Genomic DNA, 20109 nt, shown 5'->3' on the forward strand with positions numbered 1-20109 from the left:
GTTCATGAACACGTGAAGCCTTGACTTCAGGTTAAGTAATAAAAATTTATTGAGAATTCCTGGGTTGGTGTTTATCTCCTCCCAGCCTTGAGGGAGGGAACAACACTGTAGGAAATCACTGAGAAATCACGCACTGTCCCCAACAGCCCCAGTTAACACAGGGAGGAGGAAAGTAATTCCCCAGAAAAGGGGCTAGTCTTCAGTCTTCCTTAATCCAAGAGGGGTTCAGGGAACCGGTGTGGGGGACCATCGCATGATACTGGGGCGGGGTAGGGCTGTGCTGGACCCCTGGCTGGCTCCTCAAAAACTGGAGAAGCAGATCCACTTCCTCTGGGGGTGGAGTTCTTGGTGACTAGGCTCATTTCTTACCCTTGATGAGGCTGTCACTGTAGGAAAAAAAAGATAGATAATGACATTATTAGGGGACATAAATGTGAGAGGCAGGACACTCTAGGCCATTCCCTCTACGACCCTCCTACCCTGATTGAGGGTTTGTCTTCGGGGAGGTGGGAAAGGGGGTAGGGTAGGAGGCGGGTACTGGAGAAGGTGGCCTGCAGGACCCCACAGAAGCAACAACAGCTTACCTTCCCCTGTGGTGCCAGATCGCCAGATGAACAAGAAACAGAGAAGAGAAATGCACATGTTAATTGACAGCTTCAGGCCCCACTCAGCTTTGAACCCTCCTTTGCTCCCAAGAGAAAAGATAAACAGGGTTGACAGCCAGGAATCTCAGGCTCATGAAAGGAGGAGGCATGTTCTCATGGCCACTGCTATTTCTCATCTCCTTTCCTAACATCCCTCCATTCACCAGAGGAGTTTGAGGGCTCTTGAGTAAGAAAACTGAGTATCATCTTTCATCACTTTTTGGTTAGATGAAAACTTTATAATTAAAGTGCTTTTTATGTGAATAATCCTATTTGATCTCATAAAATCAATCCTATGAGATGCAAGATAGAAACTGTCAACCACCCCCTTTTCTAATTTTGGTTCAATGTCTCTGAGCCATATGAATAGCTGTAGCAGGCTCCAGAGCCCAAACAACCAGACTCAGGTCCCACGTTCTTGGTGATACCCCACAGTGTGGCCACATCTCTCACCTGGTGAAACTTTCATCCTGTAGGTTCAGCACAAGGTTGTCAGCTGTGAGATAGATACGATTCTGTGATGTGGCGATCTACAGGGCAGGAAATAAGACAGATGCTTGCATTAAGCAAAGACCTCAATTCCGACCCCTGCAATTCAGCAGCTACTTAACATGGAACACATGCAGATTAGGGCAGGGGTGCAGCAATGAGTAACACATGGTTTCTGCTCGCACTTAGGGATCCAGAGCGCTGAGCAGCAGCTATGATTAGAACAAAAGGTCAGGGAACCCAGAGGAATCATTCTTGACAGGAGGAGTATCGGAGAAGCCAATTTTTTATTTATTTATTTTTGAGACGGAGTCTTGCTCTGTTGCTCAGGCTGGAGTGCAGTGGCATGATCTCAGCTCACTGCAACTTCCGCCTCCTGGGTTCAAGTGATTCTCCTGCCTCAGCCTCCTGCGTAGCTGGGAATATAGCTAAACGCCACCACAGCGGGCTCATTATCTTTTGTATTTTTAGTAGAGATGGGGTTTCACCATGTTGGCCAGGCTGGTCTCGAACTCCTGACCTCAGGTGATCCACCCACCTTGGCCTCCCAAAGTGCGGGGATTACATGCGTGAGCCACCGCGCCGGCCAGAGAAGCCAATCTGAGTAGAAACCGGAACAAGCAAGGTTCGAATTCCCTCACCTCAATGTGCCTTAACTGAAAGCACTTTCTCAAGGCAGCCCCATCAGAGACGCTGGGCTGACACACTCACCGTCTTGGAGATATTCTGGGCTGCTCGAATCTTGCGAAGTTTGATGTAGCCAGGGTTCTTGCTCAGTGCTTCTCCAAGGTGAGGAGGGTTAAGGTACACGCAAGGGCAGGTCTCAATCCCTGGCCCTGTCCTTACCACACTCCCTTGCTCCAGTCCTCCTCTGGGCTGTCAGATCCAAGGTTGCGCTCAGGTGGCTTGTGCCCAGCCCTACCGTGGACCCCACCTGTGGGCCTCCCTGCAGGCTGCTGCCAGGAACTAGGGGCAGCACCAGAAATGAAGGCAAGGCCACCAATGCTATTGATCTGGCCTTACAGTGGGGAGTCATGGCTCAGGTACTACCACTAAGATTTCAGATCTCATCTGTAGTCCCCACCCCCAACAAGGAGCCAAGGGCCAGAGAGCACGGAGTCGCATTCGCCTTAGTCTCATCAGCCTGCCCATGAAGGAGAATGGGGAACTCAGGTGCCCTAGGGGCTGGGCTGAGATCTCTCCAGCAGAAGGATATCATCTTGGCAGCCTCGGCCTCACCCTCGGCCTGCACAATTTTCTGCCGCTGTTCCTGCTTTGCTTTTTCTACCAAGAATTGGGCCCGCTGGGCCTCCTGCTGGGCTGTGGTGGGAGAGAGTCAGGGAGACCCTGTCCTGGGTCAGGAGCCCCACCCATGGAGTCTTTCCTCCTCCTGCATCTCAGAAGCCCTCACCCCACGGCTCTTGCGACTCACCCACTTGTTTGGCTTCTACAGCAGCTGTGTACTCTCGGCTAAAGCTCAGCTCTGTGATGGCCACATCATCCAGGATGAGGCTGAAGTCCTTGGCCCTCTCTGTCAGCTCCCGGCGGATCAACAGGGATACCTGAGGGCAGGGGTGAAGAGGGGAAGGGAGGGGTGGTTTGAGGGGACTGGGGAGCTGAAAGGAAGGTTGCGACCCCTAACCCTTCACTCTCAATACAACATGCACTGCCTTAGCTTCCTGTCAGGCAAACCTGTAACATAAGCCTCTCTGCTCGAAGAGGTGCAGGAAAAGCCAAGACTTGGCCATTTTCCTCTGTGCTTCCTAACACCGAGTGCTATCGAGTTCTAATGCTGGCTCTCCTTATTTCACAGTGGCAATTAGCACAGCTTTTAGGTGGAAATGGCACTAGGGTGACAATGCTTTTCTAATAAGCTGCCTTTCCTAATTCCCAATACTCTGGGCCTAGGAAGGAAAGGCTGACACCACGCAGATGGTGGTGGGAGTCAGACCTGGGCCCGCTGGGTGATCAGCTGTGAGGCATTGAACTTGGCCACCACACTCTTGAGCACCTCGTTGACAATGGACGGCAACACTCGTTCCTCGTAGTCCAGCCCTAGGCGCTGGTACATGCTAGGAAGCTCCTGAGCATTGGGTCGAGACAACACTCGCAGGGAGATATTCACCATCTGTAGGTCTGAGATTGAGGTCAGCAGTGGCTGGTCAAGGCCAAACACCCTTTCCCAAGCATTTTCTCCTTCATGTTCCTCCCTGTATGCCCTGTGCAATGGTGTACAGCCTGGCACTACCCTGGGGGGAGGAGAGTTAATCAGGCTGACAAGGAAGACAAGACGCAGCACAGCTGAAATGCACCCTCACCCACTGTGAAGCCTTGAACTGCAAACCCCGTCACCAGCAGAGCTGACTACTCTTTCCCCCTCTGTACTCTGTGCAACCTCTAACGTGGGCGCTTTCGTGCTGTACCGTAATCATGTCTCCTGTAAGGACTTGGGGGACAAGAATTGTGTTTAATGAATCTTTTATTCCCAGGGCCCAGTCTAGTAAATGAATAAGCGACCTGCACTAGGTATAGCACAAAGAAGTACATTACAGGTTACAGGTGAGCTACCTGACCCAGGGTGTATATGTGTGCGTGGGTGGGGAGGAGGAAGAGGTCTGGGGAACTCAAAGGCACGGCTTTTATGTATGGTCTAGAAGGAGAGAACAGGTGAACTAGTCAAGCTTAGGGACAAACTTCTCCAGAACAGAGTGTACTAGTGGATGTAACTGTAGATATAGTAAGTCAAGCAGTTAGAAAAAAAAGGCTTTAAAACAAAGCTTTGATCTAGGCAGTGAACAAGACGAGGGACAAACAATACTCTTATTGAATACACGTCAGGGAGGAGACAGTAAAAAGCACGCAAACACAGTGTGTTCAGAATTTGCTGCTTTGACCCCAGGAGGCAGGTATTTTTGTTACAGCTCTTGCAGATGTGGAAAGAGGCCTAAAGGCCTGACACTACCATATTCCCCTGGGGTTTCTTGCCAGCTACCTTGATCATCCCACCTGCCATGTGATTACCAAGTGCTCAGACCTACCTTTGGAGCCTGTAGGGGAGGAGATTTTTCGAGGTCTGGCCCGAATGTCATAGATAATGGGGTACTGGAACCAAGGGATCCTGGAGAGGACAGGGATAGGTATTAAGAGGCCACAGTTTCGGCCGGGCGCGGTGGCTCACGCCTGTAATCCCAGCACTTTGGGAGGCCGAGGCGGGCGGATCATTTGAGGTCAGGAGTTCGAGACCAGCTTGATCTACATAGTGAAACCCCGTCTCTACTAAAATACAAAAATTAGCCGGGCGTGGTGGCGGGCGCCTGTAATCCCAGCTACTCGTGAGGCTGAGGCAGGAGAATCGCTTGAAATCAGGAGGCGGAGGTTGCAGTGAGCCGAGATCGCGCCACTGCACTCCAGCCTGGGCGACAGAGCAAGACTCCCTCTCCAAAAAAAAAAAAAGAAAAGGCCGCAGTTTCACTAGCCTTGCCCGGTTTCCCCTCACCACGCGTTTTTTGGCCTGCTCCTCTCCACGACCACAGACAAGGAGAGATTCTCTTGTCCCTCTGGAAAACAACAGTTTGTATGCTGCTGGAGGTTCTCGCAGCACCCACTATCCTAGGGGCAGGGATGAGGAGGGTGGGAAAAGAGCAGCGTTGAATCCTGTTGCACGTCCGACTATAGCCACTGCTGGGTCGGCGTCAAGGGTGAAAGGTCAGGGTCAGCAGGCTCTGCCCGCCATTACCTGAAGTGAAGGCCCTCGGCCAGGATAGTGTCCTGCTGCACTCCACCGATCCGATTGAAGAAGATGGCTCTGTGCCCGCCTTCCACTGTGGGGAGATGGGTGGTGATCAGGCCAGGCCGCTGCTCAGAGGAAATGCTAGGCCCGTGGAGGGGCGCGGGGACAGGGCAAGGGGTTTGGGGGAGGGACTGGAAGCGTCCGGCGAGCAGGCGGAGGTTGCTCACCGGTGAACACAGATTCGCGCACACCGTAGGCCACGGCGCCGGCCCCCAGCAACAGCTTCAGGGCCGTGCCCATGCCCCGGGGCCCGGCGGGCAGCCGTCCCGCCAAGTCCTTCAAGTTCTGGGCCATGTCTGATCTTGAGGCCGGCGGCACTGGAGGTCAGAAGGGGGTGCCGGCCCGCCTCTACCCCGCTCCGGCTTAGGTACTGCACCCTTCACACGAGGGTTCGGGCCCGTAAGGCTGGCGAAAGAAAGGGCAGCGGAAGTGCGCTCCCTTTGAAACCCTCCCCCTTAGCCCACTACGGACCCGAACTTCGCGCACAGGAATCGCGCATACGGAAGTCCCGCCCCTTTCTGGAAGGCTGCCCTCCCAGGGAGGGCAGCGCAAGACAGCAAGTCATCTCCATTTCCTGGCCCACTTTCAAAATGGCAGCCGGAAGGAAATTTGTGATTAGAAGCCGCGCTGTTCTTATTTAAGAGCGTTAGCGCAACTTCCGGTATTGTTGCAAGATGGCCGCGCCCAGTGATGGATTCAAGCCTCGTGAACGAAGCGGTGGGGAGCAGGCACAGGACTGGGATGCTCTGCCACCCAAGCGGCCCCGACTAGGGGCAGGAAACAAGATCGGAGGCCGTAGGCTTATTGTGGTGCTGGAAGGGGCCAGTCTGGAGACAGTCAAGGTAGTTTGGGACAGGAAGTGGAGAAGTAGTAAATCGATAGGTTGGGACTCCGTGGAATGAGGGTAAGGGGCCCAGAGTGGATGTAGAAAGCAGAGAGGGGTGAAAGATGCTTTTGAAGGAAGGTGGCTTGGTTGGCTTTGCGTTGATTTGACATCCTGGGATGGTAGTACTCATTTTTCTTTCTTTTTTTTTTTTTTTTTGAGACGGAGTCTCGCTCTGTCGCCCAGGCTGGAGTGCAGTTGCGCGACCTCGGCTCACTGCAACTTCTGCCTCCCGCCTTCAAACAGTTCTCCTGACTCAGCCTCTGGAGTAGCTGGGACTACAGGCAGGTGCCACCACGCCCGGCTAATTTTTTTGTATTTTTAGTTCAGATGGGGTTTCACCATGTTGGCCACGCTGGTCTCGAACTCCTGACCTCAAGTGATCCGCCCGCCTCGGCCTCCCAAAGTGTTGGGATTAGAGGCGTGAGCCACTGTGCCCGGCCGGTAGTACTCATTTTCTTTTGCTCTTTTTGAATGATATTCTAGCCCTCACCTCCTTGCTTCCAATTGGTTTACCAGGATTCTGTGGTATAGTAGTCTAAGCAGAGGAAAGTTTCGTTCCTTGCGTCATTCCACATCCCAAGACAAGTTACTGGGCAGATGAGAAACGTAGTTATGTAGCCTAGTCTGCCCACACTTTTTGTAAGGGCTTCGTGTTTCAATTCATTAGTATCCATAGTCACCTCTCTCTAATATCCACCTATGATACACTGTCCAGACCTGGTTATTATTTAAAACTTTTACATCTGCATTTTTATCTATCATTCATCTCTTTCCCCACATGTAATAGAACCAGCAGTTCTCTATCTTAAAGCCTTGGGCAGTGTTCTTCCTCCTCCTTTCTCTTACCCGTTAGAACTAATTGAATAGGCCCAGAAGAAATCGCATTGGTTTAGAAGTCAGGCCAGGATTTTAATCTTCGTTCTAAATACACTTTTTTTTTTTTTTTTTTTTGAGATGGAGTCTCAGTCTCTACCAGGCTGGAGTGCAGTGGCACGATCTTGGCTCACTGCAGCCTCCGCCTCCCGGGTTCAATCGATTCTCCTGCCTCAGCCTCCAGAGTAGCTGGGATTACAGGCCTGCGCCTGTAATCTATTAAAAGAATAGAAAACATGATTATATCCTACTAATGGGTTGAAACTGTATTATTCATTCAAGAAGGTTTTTTTCTTCTATAACTAAGGGTGTCTCATGGACTTAGTTCTTGGTCATTTGTTCTTTGTGCTCTCTGTGACATTACTTCAACTATTCAATTTCAAAATCTACATCCCTTTTTTCGCAGACTTTTTGGAGCCATATATCTCAAGAATGTTGCTAGACATATACATTCCAGTGATACATAAAAACTTAACCTTCCAAAACTTGTATTTGTATATAACAGTTTGTTTTTAGACTTTTTACTGACCACCCTAATGCTCCTTGGGACTCCAAATTGCAACTTGGAATTATTTCTTTTAGCTGCTACAGATGTAGTCCACTTCTTTAACATCAAACTTCTGATGTCTTTTCCAGTGTACAGAGAGTTGTTAGGATAGTGTCTGTCAGTCATTCCCATCCTGCCCTGCTTACTCCAGAATTATTTTTGGCTTTGTGCTTGATACATTAGGATTCTGTGGTTTACAAAGCAGCTTCATATATAATCACTGCCCTTTAGTGTCTCAGCTCCCAATTTTCCTCAAAATTTCCTTTCTTCGTTTCCACTTTTTCTTTTTTGTTTCTTTTTTGAGATAGGGTCTTGCTCTGTTGCCTGGGCAACAGAGTGCAGTGGTGTGATGGTTCACTGCAGCCTCTACTTCCCTGGCTCAAGCAGTCCTCCCACCTCATCCTCCTGAGTAACTGGGACTGCCAGCAAATGGCACTGCGCCTGGCTAATTTTTTTTTTTTTTTTTGTGAGACAGGGTCCCACCGTGTTGCCCAGGCCGGTCTCAAATTCCTGGGCTCAAGTGATCCTTCCACCTCGGCCTCCTAAAGTGTTGGGATCACAGGCATAAGCCACCACACCTGGCTACTTTGTCTTGATTCCATCTGTACCTTTGCTCATGCCAGTCTTTCTTTTTTCTTTTTTTTGAGACAGGGTCTTGCTGGAGTGCAGTGGTACAGTCTTGGCTCACTGCAATCTCTGTCTCCTGGGCTCAAGCCATCCTCCCACCTTAGCCTCCCAAGTAGCTAGGACTACAGGCATGTGCCACCATGCCCAGCTAATTTTTGTATTTTTAGTAGAGATGGGGTTTCGCCATGTTGCCCAGGCTGGTCTTGAACTCCTGACCTTAAGTGATTTGCCTGCCTTGGCCTCCCAGAGTGCTGGGATTACAGCCGTGAGCCACTGCATCTGCCCCCATGCCCGTCTTAAAACTGGGAATAACCCCTCTTCCTTTTACTTCTGAGAGTTTTCTTTGATTAAACTGCCTCCTGCATCATTAGTTTTCACATTTCTTTTTTTTGAGATGGAGTCTCGCTCTGTTGCCCGGGCTGGAGTGCAGTGGCGCTGCAAGCTCCGCCTCCTGGGTTCATGCCATTCTCCTGCCTCTGCCTCCCAAGTAGCTGGGACTACAGGCGCCTGCCACCATGCCCGGCTAATTTTTTATATTTTTAGTAGAGATGGGGTTTCACCGTGTTAGCCACGATGGTCTCAATCTCCTGACCTTGTGATCTGCCCGCCTCGGCCTCCCAAAGTGCTGGGATTACAGGCGTGAGCCACCACGCCCGGCCTTCACATTTCTTGTTCAGATTTGCAGCTCTTCACTTAGTGCATGTTTGGTGTACGCAAACTGAGGGTGGTGACTCGATATTTTGCACAGTACCTACTTACTGCTCCTGTAATAAACACAGCATTCAGCCTTGCTAACTACTAACTCCTGCCTAGTTCCAGGATGTCTCATTGGCCTTGCCTAACAGCCACAGGTTTTTTAATTAAATCCAGTGTATTAGTAGATAATGTGAAGTCACAGGTTGTGCCCTTCCTCCTGTTTCCCTCTCAGACCATTCACTGGGGAGTGCAAATAAGGCTGCACAGTAATCCCCCGAAGGGCTTGCTGGGCTCCACCCCCAGTGTTCCTGGTTTAGTAGGTCTAGGGTGGGCCTGAGAATTTGCCTAACAAGTTTCCAGGTGCAGCTGCTGCTGGTAGTTTGGGGACCACACTTGAAGAACCACGGGGCTAGGTAACAGAAGCTTATGCTGTTCTCTCGTCATGTTCCCTGTTCTTCAGGTAGGGAAGACATATGAGCTACTCAACTGTGACAAGCACAAGTCTATATTGTTGAAGAATGGACGGGACCCTGGGGAAGCGCGGCCAGATATCACCCACCAGGTAACTCCAGGGACAGTGCTCACAACCCTTTGAGCCTCTGTATGGAAGGGTTGGCAGCTGAGTGCTGCCTCTCTTCAGCCTTAACCATGTCTCGGTTTCTGCTTTGCTCAGAGTTTGCTGATGCTGATGGATAGTCCCCTGAACCGAGCTGGCTTGCTACAGGTTTATATCCATACACAGAAGAATGTTCTGATTGAAGTGAATCCCCAGACCCGAATTCCCAGAACCTTTGACCGCTTTTGTGGCCTCATGGGTAAGAAGCCTTAGAACAAAGTTAGAATGAACTTGTCAGTAGGGAAGAAGGGAGGAAGAGGAAAAGGGAGAACTAAATGTGGATTTTTAAGCGAGAAAATGGGAGAACAACATGATTAATACCAGGACAAGGACTGTTATTATTTTTCTATGTTTGTGGAAACTCCACTCCTGTTCTTGCAGTAGCTTCCTGGCTGAGTGAAAGAGGGAGTCTGAACCCATCACTGTACAGCTAGCCATATGCTTGGCAACTGTTTGTTCCTAACATTTCAGGAGTCCAGTCTAGATATAAAGCACACAGGGAACTCATCTTATCCATGGGGTTTTCCTTGTTCGATGACTGGACAGAAGGACTGTGGTCTCCATCTAGCTCTGAACTCTTTTTTCCCCCTTCTAGTTCAACTTTTACACAAGCTCAGTGTTCGAGCAGCTGATGGCCCCCAGAAGCTTTTGAAGGTGAGGTATTGAAACCTGTTAGTTGAAGGCTGGTTCTGGGAATGTTTCTGGGGCTGACTTTTCTCTCTTTTTTACTTTAGGTAATTAAGAATCCAGTATCAGATCACTTTCCAGTTGGATGTATGAAAGTTGGCACTTCTTTTTCCATCCCGGTTGTCAGTGATGTGCGTGAGCTGGTGCCCAGCAGTGATCCTATTGTTTTTGTGGTAGGGGCCTTTGCCCATGGCAAGGTAAGGTCTGGGCTCAACCCTGAAATTCTTGGTAGAGCTGAACTTAGTATAGAATTCCCAGAGCAGTAGGCATTTTAACAATGCTTACAATGAGCTAGAAGACACATGACAGTTCCACACCCTGCCCCAGGGCACATCCTTTGAGGGCTGCTGCCATAATTGGAAGTCACAGTTAGGACCTTCTTCATCCTTTGTAGGGATTTGATATTCAACAGCACAGCTGAAATACTAGCTCAGCCATAGTTTTCCTGCCCTAAAGAAGGGCTGAAACAGCTACTGAGTGACAGAGTTGGCTGACAAAACTGTTCTTTTCTTAGGTCAGTGTGGAGTATACAGAGAAGATGGTGTCCATCAGTAACTACCCCCTTTCTGCTGCCCTCACCTGTGCAAAACTTACCACAGCCTTTGAGGAAGTATGGGGGGTCATTTGACAGTAGTAGAACCTGTTCTGAAACCAGAAACTGTTGATGTCACATCCTTTGACCCTGGTCTGAGCTGACTGCTGGAAGATGATCTTTCTGCACTGAGACTGTGGAGTTTGGGGAAGCCAAGGCTGTACATTTGCTATTTGTTTATCCTATGAATACTGTTCTTGCAAACCTGGTTGTTTTGGGGTTCCTAAAGTATCCAGTGGTGTAAAACTGTTTGTTCCCCGGGACTTCAGGGACAGATAGGAGGTTACAGAGTTTGCAGTTTGGTTCCATGCTTTGAAGGCAGGCTTTAGCTCCCAGATTCCCATGTGCTAAAGGAGAGAACCCTGATGATGGAGAAGAACTGTGAAAGAGAGCAGTCAGGAATGCTAGTGGTGAAAAACTGAACAAACAGAAGTGATTTTATCTAATACAGTTCCAAGGTAGAAAAAGTGGAGCAGGCAGGGCCTTGCACCCCTCTCCACCCCCCCATGGGGGGGGTGGTGGTAGCGGCACATACACAATCATAGTAAATTGGCAGAAGAAAAACACAATAGATTCCTGGCTAGATGGGGAGAGATAAGGCAATGTGCATGGGGGAATCAGAGGGGAGATGTGAGCCCCTCTGCTCCTCCCACAAGAGTTTCCCCTTTGGGCCGGGCACGGTGGCTCACGCCTGTAATCCCAGCACTTTGGGAGGCGGAGGCGGGTGGATCACTTGCGGTCAGGAGTTCGAGACCAGCCTGGCCAACGTGGTGAAATCCCGTTTCTACTGAAAATACAAAAATTAGCTGGGCATGGTGGCGTGCCTGTATTCCCAGCTACTTGGGAGGCTGAGGCAGGAAAATCACTTGAACCCAGGAGGTGGAGGTTGCGGTGAGCTGAGATCCCGCCACTGCATTCCAGCGTGGGTGACAAAGCAAGACGCCTTCTCCAAAAAAAAGTTTCCCCTTTGGCCCCAAATGAAGACTTGGCTGGCAGCAGAGGCACAGCTGGAAGCATCGATCTTCCACCTCCCTGGCTTTTCCATTCTCTGCTCTGGGGCAAAGGAGTGCTGTGAAAAGGGAGACGAGTAGTTTCTGCACCAGTCCCGCACAGGCCACCTGCAAGACAAGAGGAGTTTGGAAGGCTGGTTAGTTACTCCTGTAATTCCTGGTCTATAGCCCTTCCAGATGTTTCCTAGCATGCCTCAATAAGTCACAGTAGTCATTGCCCATACTGTGTTCCTTAGTAGCCAGGCTAATCCTTGGAATTCACCCCAGATTTCTAATACTATTGTTTTTTTCCAGTCTGTTGCTCTATTCTGTAACCTGGTGGTAGTTTTAGTTTAGCTGTATTAACTTACCAGGGAAATGGATTATTCCATCTTCTTTAACTTCTCTTTCCTTGGCACCATTGCTTTGTGAATATAAGGCAATATGAATAGTAGGCTCAGGAAGAAGATGTGGCCAAGGAAATAGATGGATTTATACACCTGTGGAGAGAGAGGCCACTAAGGTAGACAGGCCTGGAGTGTCCTTTGCAACCTTTGAGGTTGCAGTGAGTCCCTCCCAGTCTCACAAGCAGGCCTTCACTTGCCTTAAGCCATTTGTCCCACGTGAAGAGGCAGAAGGCAGTCATGGAGTAACCCATGAAGAGCCAGTGGATGGTCTGTTGCACCAAATAGTAGAAGGGCTGGAGGACAGTAATGGCGGCCAGCTTGCTCAGGGTGGGGCTCTCTTGAATGAGCCTGGCAGCCTGGGGAGGGAGGAGGAGCTCATCAGCATCTTGTCCCTTATATTCCCCTTCACCCCCACCCTGGAGGCCTACCTGTCTTTCCACAATAACAATGAGGAATTCCATCTGGAAGCAGACCAGGTATCCTGAGTGCAGGCCGTGCCAGAGGGCCAGGAATAGCAACGAGAGACCCTGAGAGAGTTCTTTATTTCCAAGGAACTTGAGTCGTTTGAAGATGTAGCTGGAGAAAAGGGTGGGTGGGGCGACCCTCAAACTGACTGGTCCTTGCATCCCGCCACCTGCCTCTGGGTCCTCACCCTGAGGATTGGATTGGAGTGCTGGTGGGTTCCCACGTGTAGCCCCCAGAGGGTACAGGAGGCAGTGCTGACTGATTACTTTTAGAGATGGAAAGCAGACCCAAGGCGGAGCTGGAGACCGTGTGCGCACGAGCCACTTGGTTCAGCAGCAGTGACTGAGGCTGATGCTGAGATCAGTGGTGAACCAGACACTCTACTCAAGCTGCCCACACTCTAGTGGTGGGGACAAACAAGTAAAGCTGTTGATAAACAGGGCAGTGGAGGACATAAGTCCATTGGCAGAGCTGGAGTAACACCCAGGTCTTAACGCACTTTTATATCTTGCCTTTTTTTCAAATATGACAGTAATGGTTTTTTTGGGAGGGGGGTATAGGTGGGGGTCAAAGTCAGTGTGAGCGACAGGGGGTTCTGCCCAGATGGGAAAGACGCATAGGGGTGACATGGTACACCCCTGCCCTCCAATCTGGGAAGACAGTGGAAGGAAGGAACCAGGGTCCAGGCTCCCCACCAGCAGCTCACCGGGCCACCCAGGCGTTGGTGTTGATGTTGAATGAGGCAATGGTGCCAGTGAAGCGGGGGTTTGTTTCAAAGAGCCACACCTTCATGTTGGCACAGGCATCCCACTTTGCCTTGCCCTTTTCTTCAAAGCCATTGAAGCCCAGGCCCGTCAAAATGCATACTCCTTCCTGAGAGGGAATAGCTCAGTTAGGGCTCTTGCCACTCCCCATACTGGCCCCCATGGCTTGTCTAAATAGGACCTTGTTTCAACTTTTCTACTTACTGTGACCAGCCAACAGGTGACATATTTGTACAGCACAAACTTGCCCCAGATCAGCATGTACATGCAGCGGAACCAGAAGGGGTGGTTCTTGAGGGAAGAAAGCACAGTGCATTAGGGATATCACATGACTAGGCAGTTTCTCTCAGCACTCTTCCTTTTCACACTTGTGGCTGGCTACTTCATACCTGCCTGAGTCCTGCTGCCAGATGCCCTCAATAGTCTGGCCTGATTGCCTTCACAATAGGCAGAGAGGAATAAGCAGAGGGCCTGGAGAATATTCATTCGCCTTTCCCTTGGAGAGCCTCAAGGGCAGCACTGTATTTAACTTCTCTACTGTTTGCCTTCGTTGGCAAAGTGTTTGGAATGAGCATTTGGAATGTTAAGTACAGAGGGGCCCATATTGGATTTTAATTTAAGGAGAGAAACCTGCCCAGAATTACTGAACTGTTTTCAAGCCTTTCAGCTGGGCAGGAGCAAAAGCCAGCACTTCCCCCCTTCCCTTGGTTTCTGAATTCCCTAGAAGTGCCCAAATGTATCAGTCAAGAGAAGAAAATAGGATGGAGAATCAGAAGCTGCTGTGCTCTGAGGGGTCACGTGGATGTGATAAGGCAAGCTAGGAGCGGCTCCTAGAGAAGGCAACGGGTGCTAAATGTGCACCTGGCACAGCCCTGTGCCCGCGAAGGTTGTTCAGTGCTGGCTGATGAACATGTCCCAGCACGGCTGGCATTGACAACTCACAGATCTAGAGCAAAACCAACATGCACTTGTAGATGATATTTCCTACTTCTCTGCTATCTGTAGGGATCCTTGCCTGTCCATTTTCTAGCTCTGGTGCAGTCATGCTGCTGCTGCTTTAGTAGACACTCACGTCATAGTCTTCAGTGAGGAGATAGTCTTCTGTGATGTGGGGGCTGAGCAGTGTGTAGCCCACTAGGTAGAAAAGGCCCAGACTCAGGCGCTTGAGAGCAGGAATGATGCTGGAAAGGAACGAGTGAAGTTCCTGGTCACAGAGAGCAGAGACTATTCCCTTCACCCTCTGACCTTCAGTTATGGAGAGGAGTGTTTAGGGGTGTGGTTGTCTACCTGGAATGGGATGAGAAGCTCTGCTGCCCAAAGTGTTTCCTGTTTCAGGGAAAGATTTCTATGGCTGGCTATGAGGAATGGGGACTGCAAACCTCTTAAGAGTTGTAGGAAAGTCAGGGCAGCAGACAGTGGACCAGTCTTGTGTTTACCCCTCAGGGATGCTACTGATCTCAAGGTCTTGCCAGGTCTCACAATCTCCATTGGGACTGAAAACCCAGTGGAGGTAAGATAATAAAAATAACCACTTTGAATCTGCTCCTTCATTTCTTGGTTGAATTGATGCTGAAACACAGGATGGACAAGTTCTCAGTGAAGGAATTCTTCTGGCAATTAAACTTTTTTTTTTTTTTTTTTTTTACCATTTTAATTTTTATTTTCTAGAGTCAGGGCCTTGCTCTGCCACTCCGGCTAGAGTACAGAGGCATAGTCATTGCTCGCTGTGGCCTTGAACTCCTGGGCTCAAGCGATCCCCTTGCCTTGGCCACCTGAGTAGCTGGGACTATAGGCATGTACCACCTTGCCTGGATAATTTTTTTTTGTAGAGATGGGGTCTCACTATGTTGCCCAGGCTGGTCTTGAACTCCTGGCCTCCAGTGATCCTCCTGCCTTGGCCTCCCAGAGCGTTGGCATTACAGGCATGAGCCACTGTGCCCTCCTGCATTTCCTACTGATAAATATTTTTGAGACAGGATTTTGCTATGTTGCCCAGAATGGAGTGCAGTGGTGTGATCAAAGCTCACTGCAGCCTTGACCCACCTCCCCTGGACTCAAGCAATTCTCCCACTTCAGCCTCCTATGTAGCTTGGACTACAGATGCATGCCACTATGTCTGATAATTTTTGTATTTTTTTGTAGAGACAGAGTCTCTCTATGTTGCCAGGCTGGTCTAGAACTCACGGGCTCAAGTGATCCTCCCACCTCGGCCTCCCAAAGTGCTGGGATTATAGAGGTGAAACCACTGTGCCCAGCCTCTATCTACCTACCTACCTATCAACCTGCCTACCTACCTATCAATCATAAATATATTTCATATATACATGAAAATAGGCTTTAAAGGCAGAAATGTGACTGGTTCAGGCAAAATCCTGTGGCATAAATGTGGATTTTTATGTTTGTACTAGTGTTAGAATGGATAACTGGAAGAACCCTAAACTAAAAAGGGCCCACTCCTGGCACAGAGTGCCTGTTACAACAGTCCAGGGCCTGCATGACTCAGGTCTCTATGCCAGGGTCATGCTGGAGAATGCAGCTTTCAGAAGAGTCACTTCAGAGTGAGTGAAATACCTACACAAACATCTGGACCAAGAGGGGCAATTACCTGTTTGGTATCTTTCCTGGTATGTCAATCAGCTCTCCCTGCACCAGCTTCATGTAGTGATTCATTGAGAACTGGGGCCCTACCAAGAAGGCCCCATAGAAGTAGGAGAAACCAGCAACTTCCAGCAGGGAAGGAACACCACGTATGGCATATTTCTGTTGCTCAGAGGACAAGGAATTCTATGCCAAGAAGAGAATGCATGGTTCAGGATAGCCTTGAATCTCCCCACAAGAGCCACTTTGAGTGTTCCCCACCTGTGTGCCCCACTGACTGGGGTTCTTCAAATAGCCTTCTCTTTGGGGGATGACAAATAGTTGCTTCTTGTGGAAATGCGTATGTGTGTGCATAGCTGGCTGTTGCTGCTTTAGCAAATGCCTTGCTGGCATTGATCTCTGGACTTTGTGCAAGAGCTGGATCCTGGGCAAATTAGATTTGTTGATCCTTGCTCAGTGCTATCTGAAAGGGAGATTGCACAGGCTGGGGAATGAGGGAGAGGCTCCGCTCTGGAATTTGGGTTCAGTCTTTTGTTAACAACTTTTTTCTTCCCTTTCATTAAGTCTTGAACCTCTCTGCCGATGAATGGGTACTTACCTGATCTTTCCCTCCGTCAAAGTAGTCAACAGCCAAACCTGAGCAGAGAGAGAACGGATGGGTAGGGTGGTGGGAGAGGACACTGAGGATGTGGCCTGTAGACTGAGTGCAGCCAGAAGTGTATGGCGGGGGGCGGAGGGGGGGTGCCGAGGAAGTTTTTAGTGAGATGGGGGAGGGACCTACATGTAAGGAAGGCAGGCAGTGACCATCACTCACCAATCAGCTTCAAAGTCAGAACACAATGTGGCATTGTCCACTTGATATCGTAGTTGCCGGTGGCAGTGTAATAGTATCCAGCCAGAAGGTAGGCCTAGGAGAGGCAGAAGTATTTATTCTAGCATCACTACTATTTCTTCTCCTTGCTCTGAAATTCAATGTTCTCTTTCCTTTTTCCTTTCTCCTCATCCCATCATTAAAAGCCTTAATAAATTCCTACAAATGGAGGTGCTGAAAACCTGTAATGGGAAGAGCGTTGCTCAAGGCTTCTTGGCAAAATGAGGGCTAAACTGAGATGAGAATTTAGATGCTGGGACCACAGGTGCATGCCACCCCACCCGGCTAATTTTTAATTTTTTTTGTTTCACCATGTTGCCCAGGCTGGAGGGCTAATTTTTGTATTTTTTTTGTAGAGATGGGGTTTCACCATGTTGCCCGGGTTAGTCTCAAACTCCTGGGCTCAAGCAATCTGACTGCCTTGGCCTCCCAAGGTGCTGGGATTACAGGTGTGAGCCACTTTGCCTGGCCTAGGCTTAGGTTCTTTAACTCATTCTAAGTTGCTTTTCTGTCTTGCCTTGAAGTGACTCTGCTCCTGGATAGTGGGTTAAACCAAAGAGCCTAATGGCACAGTATGCAAAGGGTTAGCTGGTGGCCCTTCCTTGAGGCAGGCAAAGAGTTACCATTACAATCTGTGGATGGAACACTTGGGCCTGTGATAAGCCACCTACCTGAAGTCATACTGCTAAGTGCTGGGAGAGGGGTTAGAAATTAGGTCTGCTAATTTCTATACCACAGTCCCCTGCCTACCCCTGTCCCCTGAACCGCTGTCAGCTGTAGCCTGAGCTGCTAAGGGAAAGACGTTTACCATCTGGAAGCAAAAGGTAGTGAGGACGGCAGTGATGGTGCGGCCCATTAGTCGAAGGATGAGGAACTGAAGCACAATACACAGCAGGGAGTGGTAGAGCTGGTTTCCTGGATGCAAGAAGAGAGAATTTAGCCTGGTTTTTACACTCCCACCGTCCTGAGACTTCCAATCACAACGTAATATATAAAGAAAAAATGTTGGCATCAGGATCTTTTTTTTCAGAATAACCTCATGTTTTGGAGGAGAGGATGGAAATTATTTATTAAAATAAAAAAGATTATTAGGGTGTTATTTTATTTCTTTTCTTTTTTTGTTTGTTTTTTTAGAGATGCGACTTGCTCTGTTGTCCAGACTTGAGTGCAGTAGCTCAATCATAGCTCACTGCAGCCTTGAATTCCGGGCTACCACACCCAGCTTGTTACTGTATTTTTGAATGTCTGAAGTGAAGAATGAATCTAAGTGGGGACTGCTTGGCTCGGTCATTCAGTTACATCCACAGCACAGAGAAACTGAGGATTCTTTGTTGATGAGGTATGGCAAGGGTAACCACCCTCAAAATGTTTTTATCTGACAGAAGAATGTACATAAAAGAAAAAAAGGAAAAGTTAAGCTGTGTTCCTCTTCATACAACCCTCTTTGCAAGTGGGAGCATTATAACTTCCCTACCTATTAGATTCTCTCAAGGAAATTTTGTTCAAGTCTGTTCCTTCCAGGTTCCCACTAATTGCGGTGTCACTGCTAATTTAGTTTACTCACCAAAGTTAAAATAAGCAATTGAGAGGCCTGTAAAGGTATGGAAGAGGTGGATGAGGTAGGTCTCCTTGTAGAAAAGGTAATGCCGATAAAACAAAGCAAAGGGGTAACCTAGATGGGGGAAAAGATAAGAAGAGTGTTATTTGTGCCTGGTGCCATCCCAGTTTGGTTTGGAAGTTTATCTGGCATGAAACGCAGCCCAGAGGGAGAGAGAAAAAAAAAACAACATACATTATATGGATGGCAACAGAGAAGGCAATAACGGTATCCCCAAGAACCAAAAGTTTTTTGTAAATACAAATTTTGAACTAAAGATATTAATATTTGATTGAGGCAATATAAAGCTGGGTCCTAAGACTAGGTTTCATTTATAGCTTATGAACTATTGCCAGACATTTTCTCTTACTTGAATTTTAAAAAATGATACAAGGAAGCTAGGCATGGTGGCTCCCATGTATAATCCCAGCACTCTGGGAGGCTGAGGCAAGGGGATTGCTTGAGCCGAGGAGTTCGACACCAGCCTGAGCAACATAGCGAAACCCCGTCTCTATTAAAAAACAAGATACAAAGATTTGAGCGTACCCATCTATGCTCCAGAAACACTCATTTACACTTTGTGATCTATCTTGCTAGCACTGTATTATCAGATTATGAGGAAAAATATAAATTAATATCAGGCTAAATACTGGAATTGCTGACTGCATATATAGCAGTTACAAGTTATGTGGAGATACTCCTCACAGTCTGTAATCTGGGCATCAACCAAGTTATAAAATCCATTTAAGTATACTAAAAAAATGTCTTCTAAAGCCATGATTCAGAGTATAGTCCAAAGGCCATGAGTGAACCACAGAGGATCTTCTGATGGGTCATGAACTGATTATACATGGCCAAGGGTTGCTTATTGAATTAAAAACGGTCAATAAAATTTGGTATTCCTAAACTAAAATTAGCACATTCCATGGCTTTACTGCAGACTCACCTTCAGTGTTCTATCTAGAGGTCTGGCGGCCATGCCTGGCAACATCCCCACTGCACTAGTGCATATGTGGAGGATGGGGATCTCTCAACTGCTTTTTGGAAAGACATTCTGCCTATTCTTTCATTGATTATTCTCTTGAGTTGGTCATGGTTTATACTTTCTGCAATTCTTGCTTTTATTTTTATTTATTTTGAGACAGGGTCTCTTGCTCTGTCACCCAGGCTGGAGTGCAGTGGCACGATCATCGCTCACTGCAGCCTTGACCTCCTGGGCTCAAGTGATCCTCCAACTTCAGCCTCTTGAGTAGCTGGGACCACAGGTGCTTGCCACCATGCCTGGCTATTTTGTAATTTTTGTGGACATGAGTTCTCACTATGTTGCCCAGGCTGGCCTTGACCTCCTGGGCTCAAGGAATCTTCCTGCCTTGGCCTCCCAAAGTGTTGGGATTACAGGCGTGAGTCACTGTGCCTGATGAATTGCTGCGATTCTTGCTTTTAAATTATGTAACTGCAGTTTTTATCATGGGCAATACAGTTTACTGTGAGTTTGCTTAACTCTAAAACGCTTAGAATAGTATCATACAGAAATAAATTGCTCAATTATTTGTTAAATAAGTAAATGCACACAATCATGTTATATGTTGGTTTCTGTCCTTCTAGTCATTTTTCCCCCATACATTAAAAAAAAAAAAAAAAAAAAGGCTGGGCGCGGTGGCTCATGCCTGTAATCCCAGCACTATGGGAGGCTGAGACGGGCGGATCATGAGGACAGGAGATCGAGACTATCCTGGCTAACACGGTGAAACCCCGTCTCTACTAAAAATACAAAAAAAAAAATTAGCCGGGTGTGGTGGCGGGCGCCTATAGTCCCAGCTACTAGGGAGGCTGAGGCAGGAGAATGGCATGAACACGGGAGGCGGAGCTTGCAGTGAGCTGAGATGGCACCACTGCACTCCAGCCTGGGCGACAGAGCGAGATTCCGTCTCAAAAAACCAAAATAAAACAAAACAAAAAACTGTACTGGCT

General features: G+C 48.5%; 3 protein-coding genes and 1 non-coding gene across 8 annotated transcripts in view, besides 6 other annotated features; 1 reads left to right on the forward strand and 3 right to left on the reverse strand.

Annotated features, from left to right (window-relative positions):
* Window positions 1–5427, reverse strand: PHB2 (prohibitin 2). Of its 3 annotated transcripts, NM_001144831.2 has the most exons (10): window positions 5091–5338; window positions 4870–4954; window positions 4172–4251; window positions 3085–3269; window positions 2566–2695; window positions 2350–2453; window positions 1845–1922; window positions 1098–1174; window positions 585–590; window positions 1–386 (listed from the first exon to the last, which is right to left on the reverse strand). In NM_001144831.2, the coding sequence occupies exons 1-10, from the start codon at window positions 5215–5217 to the stop codon at window positions 359–361; spliced, it is 900 nt and encodes a 299-aa protein (NP_001138303.1). In that variant the 5' UTR covers window positions 5218–5338; the 3' UTR covers window positions 1–358. The 3 variants fall into 3 exon arrangements, with proteins under 3 accessions (NP_001138303.1, NP_001254629.1, XP_047284190.1); NM_001267700.1 differs by lacking the exon at window positions 2350–2453 and having other exon boundaries at window positions 26–386; window positions 1845–1912; window positions 5091–5427; XM_047428234.1 differs by lacking the exons at window positions 1–386; window positions 585–590; window positions 1098–1174; window positions 2350–2453 and having other exon boundaries at window positions 1921–2009.
* Window positions 1737–2237: an enhancer, noted in NCBI's record as "H3K4me1 hESC enhancer chr12:7076226-7076726 (GRCh37/hg19 assembly coordinates)". NCBI's record gives its function as "activates a minimal SCP1, AML or CMV promoter by ChIP-STARR-seq in naive H9 embryonic stem cells {active_cell/tissue: H9 hESC(naive)}" and the evidence as "EXISTENCE:reporter gene assay evidence [ECO:0000049][PMID:30033119]".
* Window positions 2011–2280, reverse strand: SCARNA12 (small Cajal body-specific RNA 12). Its single transcript, NR_003010.1, has one exon.
* Window positions 5262–5864: an enhancer, noted in NCBI's record as "H3K27ac hESC enhancer chr12:7079751-7080352 (GRCh37/hg19 assembly coordinates)". NCBI's record gives its function as "activates a minimal SCP1, AML or CMV promoter by ChIP-STARR-seq in primed H9 embryonic stem cells {active_cell/tissue: H9 hESC(primed)}" and the evidence as "EXISTENCE:reporter gene assay evidence [ECO:0000049][PMID:30033119]".
* Window positions 5262–5894: a biological region, named in NCBI's record as "H3K27ac hESC enhancer GRCh37_chr12:7079751-7080352".
* Window positions 5385–5454: an enhancer, noted in NCBI's record as "active region_5911". NCBI's record gives its function as "activates an Ori minimal core promoter by ATAC-STARR-seq in GM12878 lymphoblastoid cells {active_cell/tissue: GM12878}" and the evidence as "EXISTENCE:reporter gene assay evidence [ECO:0000049][PMID:35858748]".
* Window positions 5545–5724: an enhancer, noted in NCBI's record as "active region_5912". NCBI's record gives its function as "activates an Ori minimal core promoter by ATAC-STARR-seq in GM12878 lymphoblastoid cells {active_cell/tissue: GM12878}" and the evidence as "EXISTENCE:reporter gene assay evidence [ECO:0000049][PMID:35858748]".
* Window positions 5587–20109, forward strand: part of EMG1 (EMG1 N1-specific pseudouridine methyltransferase) — a 26516-nt gene continuing 11993 nt past the window's right edge. Inside the window, exons 1-6 of one of the 3 annotated variants that reach the window (NM_006331.8) lie at window positions 5587–5765; window positions 9013–9114; window positions 9226–9367; window positions 9764–9822; window positions 9903–10052; window positions 10370–14610. In NM_006331.8, coding sequence (NP_006322.4) covers window positions 5598–5765; window positions 9013–9114; window positions 9226–9367; window positions 9764–9822; window positions 9903–10052; window positions 10370–10483 — 735 coding nt within the window. In that variant the 5' untranslated portion in view covers window positions 5587–5597 and the 3' untranslated portion in view covers window positions 10484–14610. Of the gene's footprint in view, window positions 5766–9012; window positions 9115–9225; window positions 9368–9763; window positions 9823–9902; window positions 10053–10369; window positions 14611–20109 lie in introns of those variants that run through there. The other 2 variants (NR_135131.2, NM_001320049.2) reach the window with 2 other exon arrangements.
* Window positions 5775–5894: an enhancer, noted in NCBI's record as "active region_5913". NCBI's record gives its function as "activates an Ori minimal core promoter by ATAC-STARR-seq in GM12878 lymphoblastoid cells {active_cell/tissue: GM12878}" and the evidence as "EXISTENCE:reporter gene assay evidence [ECO:0000049][PMID:35858748]".
* The window catches only part of LPCAT3 (lysophosphatidylcholine acyltransferase 3), a 42292-nt gene continuing 33041 nt past the window's right edge, over window positions 10859–20109 (reverse strand). Inside the window, exons 2-13 of the mRNA NM_005768.6 lie at window positions 18106–18213; window positions 17350–17456; window positions 16485–16578; window positions 16269–16306; window positions 15678–15856; window positions 14145–14253; window positions 13277–13363; window positions 13015–13181; window positions 12272–12419; window positions 12041–12199; window positions 11808–11936; window positions 10859–11565 (exon numbers count right to left, since the gene is read on the reverse strand). Coding sequence (NP_005759.4) covers window positions 11820–11936; window positions 12041–12199; window positions 12272–12419; window positions 13015–13181; window positions 13277–13363; window positions 14145–14253; window positions 15678–15856; window positions 16269–16306; window positions 16485–16578; window positions 17350–17456; window positions 18106–18213 — 1313 coding nt within the window. The 3' untranslated portion in view covers window positions 10859–11565; window positions 11808–11819. The remainder of the gene's footprint in view (window positions 11566–11807; window positions 11937–12040; window positions 12200–12271; window positions 12420–13014; window positions 13182–13276; window positions 13364–14144; window positions 14254–15677; window positions 15857–16268; window positions 16307–16484; window positions 16579–17349; window positions 17457–18105; window positions 18214–20109) is intronic.

This window comes from Homo sapiens, chromosome 12 (assembly GCF_000001405.40).
Source record: "Homo sapiens chromosome 12, GRCh38.p14 Primary Assembly".
Classification (NCBI taxonomy): Eukaryota; Metazoa; Chordata; class Mammalia; order Primates; family Hominidae; genus Homo; species Homo sapiens.

Excerpts from the sequence above, each read along its gene's own strand:
- PHB2 (NM_001144831.2), bottom strand. The coding sequence starts at position 5,217 with ATGGCCCAGAACTTGAAGGACTTGGCGGGACGGCTGCCCGCCGGGCCC. Across the intron at positions 3,270-4,171 it reads CTCCCCTACAGGCTCCAAAG|ACCTACAGATGGTGAATATC; the intron begins GTAGGTCTGAGC and ends CCTCAATCTCAG. Across the intron at positions 1,923-2,349 it reads AGGCCGAGGCTGCCAAGATG|CTTGGAGAAGCACTGAGCAA; the intron begins ATATCCTTCTGC and ends AACCCTCCTCAC.